Below are 23,068 nucleotides of genomic sequence, written 5' to 3' on the forward strand. Positions count from 1 at the left end.
TGGATTTAGAGACAGAACCAACAGTGGTAATTCCTCTAAAGCAGTAAAAATTGTGAAATTTGCTAAGCTCTTTCTACGTACGGGCATTGTTCTGATTGCTTTACATGTCTTGTTTTACTTAATTTGTACAACCTAAGGAAATAGATGCTACCATTGCCATTTTACAGATGTGGAAGCTGAGCTTTAGAGAGGTAAAGTAACTTACCCAAGGTCATGCAGTGGCTAAGCCAGGGTGAACACTCCCAAGCCTAGTTTGTAACTGCTGTTTGTTGTTGTTGTTGATAGAGTCTTGCTCTGTCGCCCAGGCTGGAGTGCAGTGACGCGATCTCGGCTCACTGCAACCTCCTGCCTCCCGGGTTCAAGCGATTCTCCTGCCTCAGCCTCCCGAGTAGCTGGGATTACAGGCACCCACCACCACGCCCGGCTGATTTTTGTGTGTTTTTGGTAGAGACAGGGTTTCGTCATGTTGGCCAGGCTGGTCTCGAACCCCTGACCTCAAGTGATTCGCCTGCCTCGGCCTCCCAAAGTGCTGGGATTACAGGTGTGAGCCACTGCGTCCAGCCTGTTTTTTTGTTTTGTTTTTTTTTTTAAATGACCTGGCCCTCTAGTGGTTGGGCAGGGAGAAAAGGGGAAAAAAGCTTTTAACCCTAGGCAAAGTTGTAAATGTGTTTGGGTTTTCTGTTTGTTTATTTTGTTTTGTTTTGCTTTTTGTTTTTGCATGTGGGCCCATTATGAAATCTTTTTTTTTTTTTTGAGACGGAGTCTGGCTCTGTTGCCCAGGCTGGAGTGCATTGGCGCGATCTCGGCTCACTGCAACTACCACCTTCCCGGGTTCACGCCATTCTCCTGCCTCAGCCTCCCGAGTAGTTGGGACTACAGGTGCCCGCCACCACGCCTGGATAATTTTTTTTGTATTTTTTTGTATTTTTAGTGGAGACGGGGTTTCACCGTGTTAGCCAGGATGGTCTTGATCTCCTGACCTCGTGATCCTCCCGCCTCGCCTTCCAAAGTGCTGAGATTACAAGCGTGAGCCACCATGCCCGGCCACTTTGAAATCCTTTTTCTGAACGAAACTGAAGGAGTCCAGAGTGAATTGATAACTCTAATTATTGTGTGTGGGGCAAGCAAAATGAGAATCTGGAATTGAATTTTTTTTTTTTTTTTTTTTTTTCTGAGAAGAAATTTCACTCTTGTCTCCCATGCTGGAGTGCAGTGGCCAGATCTCGGCTCACTGCAACCTCTGCCTCCCGGGTTAAAGCAATTTTCCTGCCTCAGCCTCCTGAGTAGCTGGGATTACAGGCATCCACCACCACACCTAGCTAATTTTTGTATTTTTAGTAGAGACAGGGTTTCACCATGTTGGCCAAGCTGGTCTCGAACTCCTGACCTCTGGTGATCTGCCCGTCTCGGCCTCCCAAAGTGCTGGGATTACAGGCATGAGCCACCGCGCCTGGCCTGGAATTGGATTTTTAAAGATCTGAGATTCTAAGGAAGCAGAAATTATTCACTTGAGCTTCAAGGCAATGACTGTAGAATCAGATCTGGTATTGGAAGTCACTTAAATGTCAGACACAACAACACATATGGAAAGCATCTAGCACAGTCCACAATAATGTTTTTCTTCCTTTCTGAGCCTTCCTTTTCTGACCTCTAGAAAGAAGGGGTGGGGCTGTGTTATCAAGATATTTGGGGACTAAATAAGATAACAGCATTTGGGCTGGGCAAGGTGGCTCAGGCCTATAATCCCATAGGCCGAGGCGGGTGGATCACCTGAGGTCAGGAGGACGACACCAACCTGACCAATAAGGTGAAACCCTGTCTCTACTAAAAATACAAAAATTAGCTGGGTATGGTGGCGTGCTCCTGTAATCCCAGCTACTTGGGAGGCTGAGAAGGGAGAATTGCTTGAACCCGGGAGGCGGAGGTTGCAGTGAGCCGAGATCATGCCAGCCTGGGCAACAAGCTAGACTCCCTCTCAAAAACAAACAAATAAACAAACAAAAAACAGATAACAGTGTTTGGAGCCTAAAGGGCTCCATGAATATCAGAACAGATTCTTTTCCACTTTCAATAATGTTCCTTTCCCTTAAGCACTCTGGTTTCCAGGTTTCCCTATTGAGTAATAAGACTGATAGGCCTTTCTTAGTAGCTGGAGCTTCATCTTTCAGTGAAAAAAATTTAGGGGGTTTTATGTTATAAACTTTGTTATAAATTTTATATTGGTCTTCAGTTTCAGAAACACTGTTGCCTCAAAGGGAAGGAACTAATGTTTAATAAGCTCAGTGAAATAAGTAGAGATTTACTCAGTTTTATAGATTGGGAAACTGTCTCGGAGAAGATAACACAGCCAGTAAGCCACAAAGCCAGGAGTAAGATTCTTACCCATTTTGCAGCACATAAATCTATAAGACTTAAGAAGTTAAGAAATAAAGTTAGTCCTATTCTGGTACAGTTCAACATGAAAGTTCTTCAGTGGAGCAACAAACCCTGACCAAGGTCTTGAAGGGGGTTTTTAGCCTAGAGTCAGGTAACTTCCTCTTTCCAGCTCCATCTCAGGTACCTCTCCCTCATCGTAGCTTGTCTTTATGAATGTCAGCTTTTTGTTTGTTGTAGACCAAACTAATGCATTCATTTAATTCTAACATCTAATCTAAGGTATCTTGGGTTATCTCCATTTACACTTATAAACTGAGGCTTTGAGAAGATTAGGTGACTAGTCCAAGGCTGGTATTCTGGATCCTTTGGGCACTGGAGACACTAACACAGCCTGCCTTCACATGCCCACAAGTACGGAACCTGCCGTATTTCACTGCCTCTTAAGTGTACTCTCAGTCTGTATCCTACTAGCTCAGTCGTATATCCTACACTATTTCTACTATGCCAAACTTCATTACCCTTAACAGACCTTTGCAGTGATTTCCCTGCCACTAGGTGCCCTGTAGGGGTGATATTTGTAGCTCTGGAGATTGCTTTATTCTGACCCTCTAGCAGAGACTACAACCTCATGAGTCTTGGCAGACACTACTTGTCTTTTCACCATTACTACTACTGTGCTAACTGGGAATCTGGCCACCCTTCCTTACCCCAAGGGGTGGGTCTTGATATAAACTCTAAACCAATCATTGTAACTCTAGCTCCCTAGACAGTGATTGATTTAGGCATGGGCATATGATGCAGTTCTTGCTAATTAGATGGGAAGGGAAGCCTGGGGAACTTGTGGAGAAGCCTTCCTTATTTAAAAGAGACTTGCCAGCTTTTATTTTATTATTTTTTGCCAGTTTGTATTTTAACCCAGGTTGCACCAAAATGTGTGAACCACAAACAAAGACAGAGATGGGAAAGCTATAATAATAATAATACCCAACACTTGTATAGAACTTGCTATGTGCTAGGTACTCTTCTAAGTAGAGGCATACCTCAGAGCTAAGGCAAGTTTGGTTCCAGACCACTGCAATAAAGCAAATATAATAAAGCAAGTCACATGAATTTTTCTGTTTTCCAATGCATATAAAAGTTATCTTTATACTATACTGTAGTCTCTTAAGTGTGCAATAATATGTAGAGTAAAAGTACCTCTTTTATTTATTTATTTATTTATTTGAGACAGGCTGGCCCTGTCTGTCACCCAGGCTGGAGTGCAATGGCGTGATCTCGGCTCACTGCAACCTCCGCTTCCTGGGTTCAAACCATTCTCCTGCCTCAGCCTCCTGAGTAGCTGGGATTACAGGTGCCCACCACCACACCCAGCTAATTTTTGTATTTTTAGTAGAGACGGAGTTTTACCATGTTGGACAGGCTGGTCTTGAACTCCTGACCTCATGATCTGCCTGCCTCAGCCTCCCAAAGTGCTGGGATTATAGGCATGCATGAGCCACCATGCCCAGCCAAAAGTACATATCTTAATTAAGAAATCCTTATTGTGAAAAATTGCCATTTGGTGAGCTGTAATCTTTGCTGGTGGAGGGTCTTACCTTGATGTTGATGGCTGCTGAGACTGATCAGGGTGGTGATTGTCTGGGGTGGCAGTAACAACCTATGAAATTTGCCACATCAATTGATTCTTCCTTTCACCACAGATTTCTCTGTAATGTGATACTGTTTGATAACATTTCTCTCTGCCATAGACCTTTCAAAATTAGAGTCAGTACTCTCAAACCCTGCCACTGCTTTATCAACTAAGTTTATGTAATGTTCTAAATCTGCCGGTCTTGGTGGCTCACGCCTATGATGCCAGCACTTTGAGAGGATGAGGTGGGAGGACTGCTTGAGCTCAAGAGTTTCAGACCAGCCTGGGCAACATAGTGAGACCCCATCTCTAAAAAAACATTTAAAAAATTAGCTGGGTGTGGTGGCGCGTGACTGTAGTCCCAGCTACTCAGGAAACTGAAGTGGGAGAATCACTTGAACCTGGGAGGTTGAGGTTGCAGTGAGATGATTGTGCCATTGCACACCAGCCTGGGCGACAGAGCAAGATCTTGTCTCAAAAAAACCCCAAAAATCCTTTGTTGTCATTTCATGTATGTGTGTATGTATGTATGTATATATGTTTTTTTTATTTATTAAGACAGGGTCTCACTCTGTCACACAGGCTGGAATGCAGTGGTGCTATCAACAGCTCACTACAGCCTTGAATTCCCAGGCTCAAGCAATCCTCCTACTTCAGCCTCCCGAGTAGCTGGGACTACAGGCATGCACCACCATGCCCGGCTAATTTTTTAAATTGTTTTTAAAGAGTGTTGCCTAAGCCTGTCTTGAACTGGGCTCAAGTGATCTTCCTGCCTTAGCCTCCCAAAGTGTTGGGATTACAGGTGTGAGCCACCTTGCCCAGCCTATTGTCTTATCAACAGGATTAACGGCATTTTCACAAGGAGTAGATTCCATCTCAAGAAACCATTTGTTTGCCCACCCGTAAGAATAGCTGCTCATCCATTCAAGTTTGATCGTGAGATTGCAGCAATTCAATCATATTTTCAGTTGTCTAGTTATCACATTTTCACTTCTAGTTATCTTGCTGTTTCCACCCCATCTGCAGTAACTTGCTCCATTGAAGTCTTGAACCTCTTAAAGTCATCCGTGAGGGTTGGTATCAACTTCTTCCAAACTCTTATTTATGATATTTTGACTTCTTATGAATCGTGAATGTTTTTATAAGACCTGAAAGTTGAAATCACTCCTTAATTCATACAGAATGGATGGATTCTGTATAGCTACAGAATGGATGTTGTATTAACAGGTGGGAAAACAACATTAGGCCGGCGCAATGGCTCACACCTGTAACCCCAGCAATTTGGGAGGCCGAGGCGGGCAGACCACTTGAGGTCAGGAGTTCGAGACCAGCCTGGCCAATGTGGTGAAACCTTGTCTCTACTAGAAATACAAAAAATTAGCCTGGTGTGGTGGTGCACACCTATAATCCCAGCTACTGTGGAGGCTGAGGCAAGAGAATTGTTTGAACCTGGGAGGTGGAGGTTGCAGTGAGCTGAGATCACGCCACAGCACTCCAGCCTGGGCGACAAGAACGAAACTCTGTCTCAAAAAAAAAAATATATATATATATATATATATTCAGTAAATCAAGCTGTAAACAGATGTGCTGTCATCCAGGCTTTATTCCATTTATAAAGCATAAACACAGTGGATTCAGCATACGTTTTAAGCTTCTGAGATTTTCAGAATAGTAATTGAGCATTGACTTCAACTTAAAGGCCCCAGCTGCATTAGCCCATAACAAGAGAGTCAGCCTGTCATTTGAAGCTTTGAAGCCAGGCATTGACTTCTCTCTAGCTATGAAAGTCCTAGATGACATCTTCCTCCAATGGAAAGCTGTTTCTTCTACATTGAAAATCTGTTGGCTAGTGTAGCCACTTTCATTAATGATCTTAGCTTGATCTTCTGGATAACTTGCTGTAGCTTCTGCATCAGCACATGCTGCTTCACCTTGCACTTTTTTGAGACAGTGTCTCACTCTGTCACCCAGACTGGAGTGCAGTGGCACGATCTCGCCTCACTGCAGCCTCTGTCTCCCGGGTTCAAGTAATTATGGTGCCTCAGTCTCCTAAGTAGCTGGGATTATAGGTGTGTGCCACCACGCCCAGAACATTTATGTATTTTTATAGAGACAGTGTTTCGCCGTGTTGGCCAGGCTGGTCTCGAACTCCTGACCTCAAGTGATCCGCCCACCTCAGCCTCCCAAAGTGCTGGGATTATAGGCATGAGCCACCACACCCGGCTTCACTTTTTTTTTTGAGACGGAGTTTCTCTCTGTTGCCCAGGCTGGAATGCAGTGGCGCGACCTCAGCTCACTACAAGCTCGGCCTCCCGGGTTCACGCCATTCTCCTGCCTCAGCCTCCCGAGTAGCTGGGACCACAGGCGCCCGCTACCACGCCCGGCTAATTTTTTTTTGTATTTTTAGTAGAGATGGGATTTCACCATGTTAGCCAGGATGGTCTCGATCTCCTGACCTCGTGATCCGCCCATCTCAACCTTCCAAAGTGCTGGGATTACAAGGCGTGAGCCACTGTGCCCAACTTTTTTTTTTAAGATAGGGTTTTTGTCTGTCACCCAGGCTGGGGTGCAGTGGCAAGATAGCACACTGCAACCTCTAATTCCTGGGCTCAAGGGATCCCCCCACGTCAGCCTTCTAAGTAGCTGGGGACTACAGGTGTGTGCCACCACACTCAGCCAATTTTAAATTTTTGTGAGACAGTGTGTCACCATGTTGCCCAGGCTGGTCTTCAAGTCCTGTCCTCAAGTGATCCTTATTCCTCAGCCTCCAAAGCCACTGGGATTACAAGCATGAGTCACTGAGTTTGGCCTCCACATTGATGGCTTCTTTCCTTAAACCCTTTCTTTTTGAGACGGAGTCTCACTGTCGCCCAGGCTGGAGTGCAGTGCCATGATCTCAGCTCACTGCAACCTCTTCCTCCCAGATTCAAGCGATTCTCCTGCCTCAGCCTCCCAGGTAGCCAGGATAACAGGTGCCCGCCACCACATCTGGCTAATTTTTGTATTTTTAGTAGAGATGGGGTTTCACCATGTTGGCCAAGTTGGTCTCGAACTCCTGACCTCAGGTGATCCACCTGCCTCAGCCTCCCAAAGTCTTGGGATTACAGGCATAAGCCACTGCGCTCGGCTCCTTAAACCTTATGAACCAGTCTCGTTAGAGCCTGGCTCTGGATTAGGCTTTGGTTTAAGGCAGTATTGTGGCTGATTTGATCTTCTGTCAAAACCACTAAAAGTTTATCCATATTGGCAATAAGGCTGTTTTTTCTTTTCTTTTCTTTTTTTTTTTTTTGAGACAGAGGCTGGAGTGCAGTGGCCCTATCTTGGCTCACTGCAAGCTCCGCCTCCCGGGTTCATGCCATTCTCCTGCCTCAGCCTCCTGAGTAGCGCCCGGCCGGTTGTTTTTTTTAAACATTTGTGTGTTCACTGGACTAGTACTTTTCATTTCCTTCAAGATCTTTTCCTGGCCAGGTGCAGTGGCTCATGCCTGTAATCCTAGCACTTTGGGAGGCCCAGGCAGGCGGATCACCTGAGGTCAGGAGTTCAAGATCAGCCTGACTAACATGGAGAAACCCTGTCTCTACTAAAAATACAAAATTAGCCGGGTGTGGTGGCACATGCCTGCAATTCTAGCTATTTGGGAGGCTGAGGCAGAAGAATCGCTTGAACCCAGGAGGTGGAGGTTTCGGTGAGCTGAGATCGCACCATTACACTCCAGACTTGGAAACTCCTTCACAACAAAAAAAAAGAACTTTTCCTTTGCATTCACAGCTTTGCTAACTGGCGCAAGAGGCTTAGCTTTCACCATATCTTGGCTTTTTGACATGCCTTCCTCACTAAGCTTAATCATTTCTAGCTTTTGACTTAATGTGGAGACATGCAACTGCCCCTTTCACTTGAACAAATAGAGGCCATTGTAGGGTTATTAATTAGCCTCATTTCAATATTGTTGTATCTCAGGGAATAGGGTGGGAGAGAGACTGTGGAATGGCTTGTTGGTGGAGCAGTCAGATCATACACAGTATTTATCAGTTAAGTTCTCCATCTTATATGACCATGGCTCATGGCACCCCAAAACAGTTGCAATACTAGCATCAAATATCACTGATCACAGATCACCATAACAGATAAAACAAAAAACAAAAGTTTGAAATATTACGAGAATTACCAAAATGTGGCACAAAGTGAACACATGCTGCTGGAAAAATGGCACCAGTAGACTTGCTTAACATAGGATTGCCACAAACCTTCAATTTGTTTTTTTTTGTTTTTTTTTTTTGAGACGGAGTTTCACTCTGTCACCCAGGCTGGAGTGCAGTGGCACGATCTTGGCTCACTGCAACCTCCACCCTCCGGGTTCAAATGATTCTCCTTCGTCAGCCTCCTGAGTAGCTGGGACTACAGGCGCCTGCCACCACGCCCGGCTAACTTTTTGTATTTTTAGTAGAGATGGGGTTTTACCATCTTGGCCAGGCTGGTCTTGAACTCCTGACCTTGTGATCCACCCGCCTCGGCCTCCCAAAGTGCTGGGATTACAGGCGTGAGCCACTGCGCCCGGCCCAATTTGTTTTTTTTTTTTTAAAAAAAACACACATTGGCTGGGTATGCTGGCTGACGCCTATAATCCCAGCACTTTGGGAGGCTAAGGCAGGTGAAACTCTTGAGCTCAGCAGTTTGAGACCAGCCTGGGCAACATAGTGAGACCCTGTCTCAAGACAAAAACAATAACAACAATAAAAAAACACACAGTATCGGTGAATCACAGTAAAATGAGATATGCCTGTACTTTATATATTCATTTAATTCTCAGATTCTCATGTTTTAGTTGAGAAAACCAAAGGATGGAGAGGTTTCAGTAACTTGGGCAAATTCATAGCTAATACATGGAAGAGACGCTTACTCAGTATGATTCTAATCAAAATATGGGCTGTTTGTACATAAGCATTCCTGAAGTAGCTAAAGCAATCTCTTCCCCACCCATCTTTTCCTATAGAAATCTCACCTGTTTTTCTTTTCTTTTTTTTAATTTGATATGGAGTTTCGCTCTTGTTGCCCAGGCTGGAGTGCAGTGGCACAATCTCCGCTCACCGCAACCTCTGCCTCCCAGTTCAAACTATTCTCCTGCCTCAGCCTCCTGAGTAACTGGGATTACAGGCATGCACCACCATGCCCAGCTAATTGTTTGTATTTTTAGTAGAGACGGGGTTTCACCATGTTGGTCAGGCTGGTCTCGAACTCCCAACCTCAGGTGATCCTCCCGCCTCAGCCTCCCAAAGTGCTGAGATTATAGACGTGAGCCACCGTGCCCAGCCATCTCACCTGTTTTTCAAGATATACTTTAAATACTGCCTTCTTCATGAACCTTTCTGAAGTACTTTATGCCTTCCAGTTTGGAAATGAACTCTCCTAAATTCTATAGCACTTTGTTCTTACTTTTTTTTTTTTTAAATGGAGTCTCGCTTTTTCTCCCAGGCTGGGGTGCAGTGGTGTGCGCTTTTCACATCCTTTTTTCTATTACAGTTGTTTTATTCCATGTTATTAGTTTTTTGACCAGTTACTTACTCTACATAGCCTCATTTTCTTATCTTTAAAATAGGTATAGGTTAGGTGCGGTAGCTCACACTTGTATTCCTAGCACTTTGGGAGGCTCAGGAAGGAGGATTGGTTGAGGCAAGGAGTTCCAGACCAGTCTGGGCAACATGGCAAAACCCCTGTCTCTACAAAAAAAAAATTAGTTGGGCGTGGTGGGATGTGCCTGTACTCCCAGCTACATGGGAAGCTGAGACAGAAGGATCGTTTGAACCTAGGAGTTTGAGGTTGCAGTGAGTTATATGATCTCACCATTGTACTCTAGCCTAGGTGACAGAGCAAGACCTTGTCTTTAAAAAATAAAAATGAAATAAAATAGAGATAATAGGATTGTTACAGGAATTAAATGAGGTAATGCCTGTAAAGCATTTTAGCTCGGTGCTTAGCACATAGTAAGTACTCAATAAGTGATAATTAATAGCTGTTAATCACTTAGTAAACAAAGTACTTTCTATGTGTCAAGCCATATATATGTGTGTGTGTGTGTGTGTGTATACATATATATATATATATATATATATATATATATATATTTTTTTTTTTTTTTTTGAGAGAGAGTCTCACTTTGTCACCCTGGCTGGAGTGCAGTGGCCTATCTCAGCTCACTGCAACCTCCACCTCCTGGGTTCAAGCGATTCTCCTGCTTCAGCCTACTGAGTAGCTGGGATTACAGGCATCCACAACCACGCCTGGCTAATTTTTGTATTTTTAGTAGAGGTGGGGTTTCACCATGTTGACCAGGCTGGTCTCAAACTCCTGACCTCAGGTTATCCGCCTGCCTCGGCCTCCCAAAGTGCTGGGATTACAGGCTTGAGCCACCACACCCAGCCAGGCCCTACATTAAATATAAAGTTAAATTTACTAGTCTTTGTCTTTGAGTGGAGGACAGGAACATATTGTGAATACTTGTCAGAAACTCATACTTTTAGGACCAGGCAGACAGCAGTTAATTTCAGCAAATGATTATTAAGTGCCCACTATGTGCAAGGGACTTTTCTAGGCCCTGGAAATACAGTGGTTAACAAAACAGACAAAACCTCTTTCTGGTGAAGTCCCAGATTTTATATTCTAGTGAATAATTTTATGAAATAAACCAAAGGGAGACTGTTAGATGAACGGGACAACCCTATTTCCTGGCTGCTACGCTCCAGCCAATTGTTGCCATGGGGAAATGTGGTTCTAGTGTTGTTGATTTCGCATCCTTTCCACAATTCCTCTCCCTCTTGAAGCTGGAAATCTGGAATTTTTTTTTTTTTTTTTTTGAGATGGGGTCTTGCACTGTCGCCCAGGCTAGAGTGCAGTGGCACGATCTCAGCTCACTATAACCTCCGCCTCCCGGGTTCAAGCAATTCTCCTGCCTCAGCCTCCCAAGTAGCTGGCATTACAGGCGCTCACCACTGCACCTGGCTAATTTTTGTAATTTTAGTAGACTTCACCATATTGGCCAGGCTGGTCTCAAACTTCTGACCTCGTGATTCACCTGCCTCAGCCTCCCAAAGTGCTGGGATTACAGGTGTGAGCCACCACGCCCGGCCTGGATTTTTAAATAATACTTACTGCTTTGTAAAGGTTACAAGCTAACTTTCAAAATCTGAAAACATTAACAAAAGATATTTGAGGCCAAATATAGCCTGAGAATTGTCTGTCTTATTTGTAAATGTTACTTCAATTAATATTCTGTGTATCTTATGAAATATTACGTAGTCTCTGTATTTTACAAAATTATATGTATTTTTTTAAATGTTAATTTTTTTTTTTTTTTGAGATGGAGTCTCGCTCTGCCGCACAGGCTGGAGTGCAGTGGTGTGATTTTGGCTCACTGCAAGCCCTGCCTCCTTGGTTCAAGCGATTCTCCTGCCTCAGCCTCCCAAGTAGCTGGGATTACAGGCATGGACCACCATGCCTCCCTAACTTTTTTTGTATTTTTAGTAGAGGCGGGGTTTCACCATGTTGGCCAGGCTGGTCTCGAACTCCTGACCTCAGGCCATCTGCCCGCCTCAGCCTCCCAAAGTGCTGAGATTATGGGCTTAAGCCACTGCACCCAGCCAATTAATTTTTTTAATTAATTAATTAATTATTTTTTTGAGATGGAGTATAGCTCTGTCACCCAGGCTGGAGTGCAGTGGCGTGATCTCAGCTCACTGCAACCTCCGCCGCCTGGGTTCAAGAGATTCTCCTGCCTCAGCCTCCCAAGTAGCTGGGATTACAGGCGCCTGCCATCACACTCGGTTAATTTTTTGTATCTTTAGTAGAGACGGGGTTTCGCCATGTTGGCCAGGCTGGTCTTGAACACCTGACCTCAGGTGATCCTCCCTCTTTGGCCTCCCACAGTAGTGCTGGGATTACCACCACACCCAGACGGAGTTCCTTCTTTTTTTTTTTTTTTTTGACAGAGTCTTGCTCTGTCACCCAGGCTGGAGAGCAGTGGCGCGATCACAGCTCACTGCAACCTTTATCTCCTGAGTTCAAGCGTTCAAGCGACTCTCCTGCCTCAGCCTCCTGAGTAACTGAGATTACAGGCATGTGCCACCATGCCCAGCTAATTTTTGTATTTTTAGTAGAGATGGGGTTTCAGCATATTGTCCAGGCTGGTCTGGAATTCCTGACCTCAAGTGATCTGCCTCCCTCGGCCTCCCAGAGTGATTACAAGCGTAAGCTACTGCTCCTGGCCGTACCTAGGAGCTCTTTGAGTAATGTGGTAGTCCTGGCAGGAGATGATGGCAGCAGCTGAGATGGTAATGGTAGGGAATAAGAGAGTTAGGAATTTGAATCATCAGGACTTGGTTATTGATTTCATCTGGTGGCTGAAGCCAAGGGGAAAAAAAATTAAGCATGACTCCTATGCCTGTTGCTTTGAGAGCAGAGTGGATAGTGATGCTGAATTTAAATTTGTGCATTTTGAGGATTCTCTGACCTCCAGGGAAGTTGTTCAAAAATCAGTTGAATGTAGAAGTCTGGAGCTCAAGAGTGAGGCCTGGGAATGGAGATAGAGGTTTGATCATCTATTTATCTCTATACATGGCAACTAAAACTATGGAGTGATTCATCAACACTCAGGAAAAATGTGATGAGAGCTGGGCTAAAAAGCTGGCCAAGGTAGATCAGCTGTGATGTGCAGAAAGGAAGGAAACATCAGTCAGAATTAAAAGAAAACAAGGAGTGCTTGGTGTCTTAAAAGCCAAGAGAAAGAGGCCAGGTGTGGTGGCTCACACCTGTAATCCCAGCACTTAGGGAGGCTGAGATGGGTGGATCACCTGAGGTCAGGAGTTCGAGATCAGCCTGGCCAACATGGTGAAACCCCAGATCTACTAAAAATACAAAAGTTAACCGGGCGTGGTGGTGTGTACCTGTAATCCCAGCAACTCAGGAGGCTGAGGCAGGAGAATCACTTGAACCCGGGAGGCAGAGGTTGCTGTGAACTGAGATCGTGCCACTGCCCTCCAGCCTGGGTGACAGAGCGACACTCCGACTCAAACAAAAAAGCCAAGAGAGGCTGGGCGCGGTGGCTCACGCCTGTAATCCCAGCAGTTTGGGAGGCCGAGGCAGGCGGATCACCTGAGGTCAGGAGTTCGAGAGCAGCCTGGCCAACATGGTGAAACCCCGTCTGTACTAAAAATACAAAAATTAGCTGGGCGTGGTGGCAGGCGCCTGTAATCCCAGCTACTCGGGAGGCTAAGGCAACAGAATCGCTTGAACCCAAGAGGCAGAGGTTGCAGTGAGCCGAGATCATATCATTGCACTCCAGCCTGGGGGACAAGAGCTAGATTTTGTCTCAAAAAACAAAATGTGAAACAAAACGAAAAAAAAGCCAAGAGAAAGAGAGTATTTCAAAAATAAGGAAGTGGTTGTCAGAATTGAGTGCTGCCAAGAGAACAAGCAAAAAAAAAAAAAAAGACTGAAAATGTCTAGTGAATTTAGCATCATGTACTTGGTAAGTGGCCTGTGCAAAGACGGTTTTGATGGCATGGAAGTGCTAAGTAAGCTAAGAAATGAGAGAGGAGAGGCCTGGCACAGTGGCTGATGCCTGTAATTCTAGCACTTTGGGAGGCTCAGGTGGGAGGATCACTTGAGGTCAGCAGTTTGAGACCAGCATGTGCAACTTAGCGAGACCCTTTCTCATTTTTAAAGAAAAAAGGAGAGAGAAGAGGCAAGCTGTTTTAAGAAGTTTGGGTGGGCCGGGTGCAGTGGCTCATGCCTGTAATCCTAGTACTTTGGGAGGCCGAGGCAGGCAAATCACCTGAGGCCAGGAGTTGGAGACCAGCCTAACCAACACAGAGAAACCCCCTCTCTACTAAAAATACAAAAAATTAGCTGGGTGTGGTGGTGCATGCCTGTAGTCCCAGCTACTCAGGAGGCTGAGGTAGGACAGTCGCTTGAACCTGGTAGGCAGAGGTTGCAGTGAGCCGAGATCGTGCCATTGCACTCCAGCCTGGGCAACAAGAGCGAAACTCCATCTCAAAAAAAAAAAAAAAAAAAGTTTGGGTGTAAGGAGCAAAAAGGCAGTTTGATGAGGCTCTTATAATGTCTAGGCAAGAGATTATGAAGACCTAAATTCGTGCAATGGCAGTAGGAATGGAGAAAAAGACACAGAGTCCAGAAATAATTAGGAAATAAAGCTGGCCATTCTTTCTGATTGGATGTGATTGGATGTGGGGTGGGAGTTAAGGGAAACAGAACTGTCAAAGATTATTCCCATGTTTCTGGGTTGAAAAACTTTGAAGGTATTGGTACAGATCAGTAATCCAGTGTTTCCGGGCGTGGTGTTTCTCAACTTTTTTTTAATCACCTTCCTAAGGAAACTTTTTAGACCTTTTTTTCCCCCTAATGTACCTGCCCTATGACATATTAACACTGAGATAAACTCTGTATCTTTTTATGTACCATGTCTGTGCTTTATACATAAGAGTAAGTGTACAATTTAGTTTTTATTCAATGCATGGTTAAGAAAGACTAAACAGGGCGGGGCATGGTGGCTCATGTCTGTAATCCCAGCACTATGGGAGACTGAGGTGGGTGGATTGCTTGAGGTCAGGAGTTCAAGACCAGCCAGGACAACATGGTGAAACCCTGTCTCTACCAAAGATAAAAAATTAACTGGGTGTGGTAGCATGCATCTGTAGTCCCAGCTACTCAGAAGGCTGAGGTGGGAGGATTGCTTGAGCCCCGGAGATTGAGGTTGCAGTGAGCCAAGATCATGCCACTGCACTCCATATTGGGTGACAGAGTGAGACCCTGTCTTAAAAAAAAAAAAAAAAAAAGGCCAAGTGGCTCACGCCTGTAATCCCAGCACTCTGGGAGGCCAAGGCAGGTGGATCATGCGGTCAAGAGATTGAGACCATCCTGGCCAACATGGTGAAACCCCATCTCTACTAAAAATACAAAAATTAGCTGGGCGTGGTGGTGTGCACCAGTAGTCCCAGCTACTCAGGAGGCTGAGGCAGGAGAATTGCTTGAACCTGGGAGGTGGAGGTTGCAGTGAGCTGAGGTCATGCCACTGCACTCCTGCCTGGCGACAGAGCAAGACTCTGTCTCAAAAAAAAAAAAAAAAAAAAAAAGGAATGACTAAACAAAATTTTTAGGTTAAAAATTTTTAACCCAAAATTTTTAGGTTAAGCTCAAACTCCTGAGCACTTTGGGAGGTTGAGGAGGATCGCTTGAGCCTAGGAGTTTGAGACCGGCCTGAGCAACATGATCAAACCCCGTGTCTACAGAAAATACAGTAATTAGCGGTGTGTAGTGGCATGCACCTGCAGTCCCAACTACTTTTGAGGGTGAAGTGGGAGGATAGATTGAGCCTAGGAGGTAGAGGCTGTAGTGAGCCAATATCACACCACTGCACTCCAGCCTGGGCAACAGAGTGAGACCTGTCTTTAAAAAGAAAAAAATCTATTTGGGCTGGACAAGATGGCTCACGCCTATAATCCCAGCACTTTGGGAGGCCAAGGCGGGAGGATTGCTTGAGGCCAGGAGTTCAAGACCAGCCTGGGCAACATAGTGAGGCCTCATCTTTTTTTTTTTTTTTTTCCAACAGTCTCTCGCTCTGTTGCCCAGGCTGGAGTGCAGTGGCACGATCTCGGCTCACTGCAACCTCTGCCTCCTGGGTTCATACAGTTCTCCTGCCTCAACCTCCTGAGTAGCTGGGATTACAGGCCCCCGCCACCATGCCTGGCTAATTATTTGTATTTTAGTAGAGACGGGGTTTCACTGTGTTGCCCAGGCTGGTCTCAGACTCCTGAGCTCAGGCAATCCTTCCGCCTTGGCCTCCCAAAGTGCTAGGATTACAAGTGTGAGCCAACGTGTTCGGCCGGCCTCGTCTTTTTTTAAGAGCTGTTTGCGTTTAACTTATTTATTTATTTATTTTTGAGACGGAGTTTCACTCTGTCGCCCAGGCTGCAGTATAGTGGCGCAATCTCAGCTCACTGCAACCTCCACCTCCCAGGTTCAAACAATTCTCCTGCCTCAGCCTCCTGAGTAGCCGGGACTACCGGCGCATGCCACCACGCCCAGCTAATTTTTTGTATTTTAGTGGAGATGGTGTTCCACCGTGTTGCCCAGGCTGGTCTCGAACTCCTGAGCTCAGGCAATCCACCCGCCTCGGCCTCCCAAAGTGCTAGGATTACAGGCCTGAGTCACCTCACCTGGTCTTAACTTAATTTTTATGGCTGTATTTGCTTTGTAACTTTTAATGCAGTTTACTTGCTTACATAAATTCTATCAAATTACAATCCAGTTTGGCAGTTTGTATAAAAACAATGTAATCAAAACTTTAAAAATCATTCAAAACTAGAATTTATCCAACAAAAGTAAAACAATTTGAAACAATTAAAAATTATTTAGTGAGTTTTTAGACTTTTGCTTGATAATGACCAAAGCCCAAGTCACACAATCCACTGAGGATAAAACATAAATAACATTCATGAGGCAGCCAACAGGCCTGCACAGGCCATCTCTTGCCATATCGAGATCCAGCGATCAATCAAGAGAAAGTTCCCCAGTCACGGCCATCTGGTCACCATAATTTTGTAGCATAGATCCTGCATATATTTTGGCTGCCTTCCATGAAGTCACTGTCAGTCCTGCTCATGTAATAGTAAGATTTTGTTGGGTAAGGTTGAGCTTTGGAGGGCTACGCACCATTCTAACGTCTTAACTTTTTTTCTCCCTCGCCGACAAACCTATTTTGCCCTTTGGGTATGATATTGCCCCCGTTGAGAGTGTATGCCTTTTAAGAAATTATTCATGCCAGATGTTCCAGAATCCTAATTTTTTGAATTTTAGAAAGGCATTATGGTGCATATAACTTGTATAACACCTCCAGTGAGGTTTGGGATAGAACCCTGTATAGTCAAATATTATGAATGTTTCTGTAGCAAAAATATCCAGTTGAAAATTAATTGAGATTATATATATAAAGACTATAAATAATCTCATGTGAGGTTCAGATTTTGCCGCCAAATGTGTTTTGAGACTATATTTACTAAAAAAAAAAAAAAAAAAAAAACCTGTCCTATTTTCAGAGCTTGTTTTTCTTTTTTCTTTTTATTTTGTTTGTTTGTTTGTTTGTTTGTAGAGATTGGGTCTTGCTTAGTTGCCTAGGCTGGTTGCAAACTCCTGGCCTCAAGCAATCCTCCTGCCTCGGCCTCCTAAAGTGCTAGAATTATAGGTATGAGCCATCGTGCCTGGCCCTGAGAGCCCCTTTGATTTCAGAATTCCAGGTAAGGAATTGTGGACCATGAATTAAGAGAAATATATAAGGAACCGGTTTATGGAGAAGAAGATGCTTCCCCACCCCCCCACCCCCCATTTGAGGTACTTACAGACATGATTGGAAGGAACCCATGTTCCCTCTAGGTGTTAGGTATAGATTGCAGAAGTCATCAGCATTTGTTTGTTTATTTTTTGAGATGGAGTTTTTGCCCTTTTGCCCAGGCTGGAGTGCAATGGTGCGATCTTGGCTCACTGCAACCTCTGCCTCCTGGGTTCAAGTGATTCTTCTGCCGCAGCCTCCCAAGTAGCTGGGATTACAGGCGCCTGCCACTACACCTGGCTAATTTTTGTATTTTTAGTAGAGACGAGGTTTCACCATGTTGGCCAGGCTGCTCTCGAACCCTTGACCTCAGGTGATCCACCCGCCTCAGCCTCCCAAAGTGCTAGGATTACAGGTGTGAGTCACTGCATCTGAACAGTCATCAATATTTAAATCACCCAAGAGGCTATAATTTTCTAATGAGTAATGATTGGAATTGTCCACTTTGAGGTGAAGTAAAGGGGGAAATAGGCCCTTTTTTAAACCCCTGGTCATTGGTTCCTTAAGTGTAGCTTTCAAGGGAATGAAGACAGAATGGAAGGATAAAGATTAAGAGAAAGAACTGAGTGTTGGAAGGAAAAGGAAAAACCACCTGTTCAATAGAAAGCAAGAAAATAATGGTTTTTTTCTTTGACCGTAACTTCCTGAAAATTTCCCTTATAAGGAATTTAGGCCTTTCACTACAGGAGGTGAGAAGAAAAAGGGAACACCATTGATTCAGCATTTAGGCCCTAGATACTTTCACATTACCTCCTTAATCCTACAGGGCCCTATAAAGTTTATTGTGCCCATTTTATTTTATTTATTGCTTTCCGAAGACTTGCGCCATGAGAAATACCCCTGTTTTAGAGAGGCAGAAGCAAGACTAAGATAGTGGGTACTTTGCCCACAATTATACAGTTGGGCTTGGAACTCAGTTCACCTGACCTCCAAATCAGTGCTCTTTTCACTACATCATGTTGGATCAAGTTGATGGAGTTTGAGGGTGAACATTGGATGTTTGTTCATGGCATGTCTTCTGGGAGTGGAGAGGATTCTTTGTGTGGCCTTTCAGCCTGGCTTTTCTCTCCCATTTCACCCTGGGCCTTTCTCACATGGGGCCTTAGAATATTGCCTCCTAAATCTAACTCCCTCATTTTGATGAATTACATACAGGTTAGAGAAATCCCTGTTTCCAATTTGTCAGAAGGGCTGTTGGAAAGGCCCTTTCTTGTATTGTTGCTAAGAGCTAAAAGGAAGAGCTAATCAGAGGGATTTTTATAATTCAGCTGACAGACAATGCAGAACCCTCTTTGTCTGAAGACGAGTTGTGGGTGGAGGGTACTGCAGAATAGAGGCCAGGTAACCAGCCGTTTTGCTATTCTATCTCAGAGGCATTTTGCTGTGTGGACCTTTGTTTTTATGCCTCTTTAACTGAACTGGTCTTGTGCCCCAAACCCTTCAGAAATATTAACCATCTAGCCTTCAAAGACCACTTCAGACCTTACCCACTCAGTAAAGAGAGTTCTCACTCTCACTCTCTGAACTCATTGTACAGTTACATTCATTATCTTTTGTATTCTTAGAGCTGTGAGTCTAAACTAAGTTGTAAAGCTTCCTGAAGGTAGAAACAATTACACAGTGCCTGTTTGAGATTGGAGATAACCATTTGGTTATCTGCAACACACACACATACACACACACAATGCAAGTGCTTAGGAGCTATTCAGTGAATATTTTTGTGCTGGCTTAAATGGAAATTGAGCTCTTTCATTTTCCTACTTTAATTCGTTTTAGTCCCTTGTGGTACCTAGTGGTAGTGGCAGTGAAGTGTTCCTAGAAAGGTAAGAGCCACCTGATTCTATTTCAAATGAGATCGCTGGAAAATTTCTTTTGGAGAAACTGTTTGGACTATAGTTATCCCAGTCTTCTCCTGTGTCTCCCCTCCACCTCTTACCTCCCTTCCGTAGATCTGAGCATTGTGTTTACATATTTATATATACACTCAAGGGCCAAAGAACTAGTAAATCCTAAGAGAGAATTAGGATTAGCAAACTAGAAGAACTAGGAATATATATATTTTTTATATTATATATGTATTTATATATATATATATATATATATATATATATATATATATACACACACACACACATATATATATACACATTTTTTTTTTCCTTAGACCTTGAGCTTTGGATATATAGTCATGTGTACAGGAGATAGTTTTCCCCCAGTGGCCTTTAGCTAAACCACCTAGTTTATAAATTTAGCTTTGTTTCCTAGAGTGATTACTGTTCAGCCCAGTTCAGTGAAGATGCTACCAGAATATGAGCAGCCTTATTATGGTCCCATTGTGGACTGACCCAATTGTCCAGTAGAAGAAGAGCCTCTGCCATTGTTGTGGTGACTGGCACTTCTGACAGGCTTGCACATAACACCCTGAGAGCCTCATGCTGCCAGATCTGTTTCAAACTGTTTTCTCGTTTGCAACATTTCCTGGTCATGAATCTCTGAGAGAAATTCAGGAATTTTGAAAAGCCATCTTCAAATCTAACCCACTTTACCAGCATAGCATTTTACTGTTTACAAAGTACTTGGGTATATATTCTCATTCAGTCTTCACTGTGACTCTGAGATAGTCTGGGTAAGGGTATGAAAATTAAGATACAGATAAATAATACCCAAGTTGCACAATTATTAAGTAGCAAGACTAAGAATTAGATCTGTCTTTGTAGCTCTTTTCACCAGTACCACACCACTTCCAATGTGCCTGTTGGTGGTCCATCCAGCACAGCTACCTTCTGTCAATACTAGATATTTCCCTCCCTCTCTCTCTCTCCCTCCCTCCCTTCCTTCCTTCCTTCCTCTTTTTTTTCTTTCTTTTTTTTTTTTGAGACAGGCTCTAGCTCTGTTGCCCAGGCTGGAGTGCAGTGTGAGATGTCAGCTTACTGCAACCTCTACCTACCTTCCAGGCTCAAGCCATCTTCCCACCTCAGTCTCCCTAGTAGCTGGGAGGCATGTACCACCATGCCTGGCTAATTTTTGTATTTTTTTTTAGTAGGGGTGGGGTTTCGCCATGTTGCCCAGGCTGGTCTTGAATTCCTGGGCTCAAGCAATCTGTTTGATTCAAATGCGGTTGTTTTTGTTTTTCCTTTGAGGTGACAGCCTTCAAATGACTACCTAACTACTTGCCAGTCCCTATAATTTTGTTTCTCTGCATATTAGTATTTGTATCATTTGATATTTGTGTTTTTTTTGTTGTTGTGTTGTTTTGTTTTTATTTGGAGACAGGGTCTCGCTCTGTCACCCAGGCTGGAGTGCAGTAGCGCCATCATAGCTCACTGCAGCCTTGATCTCCCGGGCTCAAGTGATCGTCCTGCCTTAGCTTCCCAAGTAGCTGGGACTACAAGTGTGCACCACCATGCACAGCCAATATTTTTTATTTTTATTTTTAGTAGAGACGAGGTCTCACTATGTTTCCCAGGCTTATATTCCTTGTTCACAGCAAGAACTGGATCATACCTCAATTGAGAGATTGAATCAAACGTGGTGGAATTGAGAAGCAGCATTGACACTCCTGGGAGCACACTCCTTCCAGGAAACAACAAAGGAGTCCTCTTGTGGTTGGTATGCTGTCAAATAAGGAATATGTAGTGCTGGAAACATTGGCTGTCATGGAAATACCTGGTTTAATCTCTCCCACTTATTAGCTGGTTCTTCTGCAAGTTATGCCTCAGTTTGCCTACCTCTAAAATGAGAATTCTATGTGAGTCTAAGCTAATAATCAAATCCTTACTAAATCAATTATCAGTCAAATATGAATTTTGCCTGAGAATGCCTCCCTCTACAGATATTAGAGATTGACTTTGGGGTATTTGAAAGATATTTCAAATATAATATCTTGGTTTTTAGTCTGGATTTAGTAGATAAATATTTTTTTTTTTTTTTTTTTTTTTTACCATGGCCAGTGATTTTGAAAAGCATTCTAGACTGAACTTGAGAAGACTGCTTCACAGCTAGTAGAGAGGACACAAATGTGACTTTCTTGGCAAAGCATTGTGATCATTGCCTGCCTTGGTGCCTTACAGAGGTCCTCTCCCAGCAGGTCATGGAAAATAAGTAACTTGACACAGGAAAGGAACTTGTATACTGCAAGTCAGTTGGTTTGATAAGTTGATTTAATCACAAAAGTCATTAACATTGAAGGCATCTCAGGCCAGACGCAGGGTCTCATGCCTGTAATCCCAGCACTTTGGGAGGCCGAGACGGGCAAATCACTTGAGGTCAGGAGTTTGAGACTGCCCTGGCCAACATGGTGAAACCCTGTCTCTACTAAAAATACAAAAATTAGCTGGGCATGGTGGTGCATGCCTGTAGTCCCAGCTGCTTAGGAGGCTGAGGTGGGTGAATCACTTGAACCCCAAGATGGCACCACTGCACTCCAGCCTGGGCGACAGAGTGAGACTCTATCTCAAAGAAAAAAAAAAAGTCACAGGCATCTCAAAGAAGTTCATTAAGAAAGGGCTCATGTGGATCATTGATTTATTTTTATTATCTTAATGTGCTAATTGCTATATATAATGCCTAAAAAGAATAGATAAACATATGCAGAAGAATTAATTTGGACCCCTGCCTCACATCATACACAAAAAATTAACTCACTGGATCAAAGACCTAAATGTAAGAACTAAAACCATAAAATTACTATAAGAAAAAATAGTGGGCCGGGCACAGTGGTTCACACCCATAATCCCAGCACTTTGGGAGGCCAAGGCGGATGGATCACCTGAGGTCAGCAATTCGAGACCAGCCTGGCCAACATGGTGAAACCCCGTCTCTACTAAAAATACAGAAATTGGCCAGGCCTGGTGGCGGGCGTCTGTAATCCCAGCTACTCGGGAGGCCGAGGCAGGAGAATCACTGGAACCTGGAAGGTGGAGGTTGCAGTGAGCCGAGATTGCGCCATTGCACTCCCGCTGGGCGACAAGAGCGAAACTTCATCTCAAAAAGAAGAAATCTTAGGGGTATATCTTCATGGCTTTGGAGTAGGCAATGATTTGTTAGATAAGATGCCAAAGGCTGGGCATGGTGGCTCATGCCTGTAATCCCAACACTTTGGGAGGCCAAGGCAGGAAGATCACTTGAGCCCAGGAGTTCAAGACCAACCTGGGCAACAAAGTGAGACCCTGTCTCTACTTTTATTTTTTAAAGTAAAAAAAGATTTAAAAATTTAAAAAGACACTGAAAACACATACAACCACATACATACATACACACATATATGTATGTGTATATATATTTAAATCTTAAGTCTATACACACACATATATATACATATATACATATATGTATGTGTATATATATATACACACACAACAAAGGAGTTGTGTGTGCGTGTGTATATATATATATATGTATGTGTATATATACTTAAAATTTAAAACTTTTGGCCAGGTACAGTGGCCCACACCTATAATTCCAGCACTTTGGGAGGACAAGTCAGGCAGATTGCTTGACCACTGCACCCCACCTTTTTTTCTTCTAATTTTCTGTCTCCCTATCAGGGAATCCAGCCTGGTCTCCTGTGTGACAGGCAGGGATACTATACAAATGAGGATACATTTTCACTTTCTTGATGGTGTCTTTTATTTACTTTTTATTTTTTATATTTATTTATTTATTTATTT

At 43.8% G+C, this 23,068-nt stretch overlaps 1 protein-coding gene across 3 annotated transcripts in view, besides 1 other annotated feature; it reads left to right on the forward strand.

The window, feature by feature from the left end:
- KPNA6 (karyopherin subunit alpha 6) overlaps positions 1-23,068 on the forward strand; it is a 68,508-nt gene that overhangs the window by 853 nt on the left and 44,587 nt on the right. Inside the window, exon 1 of one of the 3 annotated variants that reach the window (XM_024446166.2) lies at positions 17,284-17,307. The exons of the other annotated variants lie outside the window; for them this stretch is intronic. The gene's annotated coding sequence lies outside the window, so the exon portion shown is untranslated. Of the gene's footprint in view, positions 1-17,283; positions 17,308-23,068 lie in introns of those variants that run through there. 3 annotated transcript variants of the gene reach the window in all.
- Positions 6,620-6,914: a silencer, noted in NCBI's record as "tiled region #5670; K562 Repressive DNase matched - State 14:Gen5'". NCBI's record gives its function as "represses a minimal TATA promoter and a strong SV40 promoter by Sharpr-MPRA in K562 cells {active_cell/tissue: K562}" and the evidence as "EXISTENCE:reporter gene assay evidence [ECO:0000049][PMID:27701403]".

This window comes from Homo sapiens, chromosome 1 (genome assembly GCF_000001405.40).
Source record: "Homo sapiens chromosome 1, GRCh38.p14 Primary Assembly".
Lineage (NCBI taxonomy): Eukaryota > Metazoa > Chordata > Mammalia > Primates > Hominidae > Homo > Homo sapiens.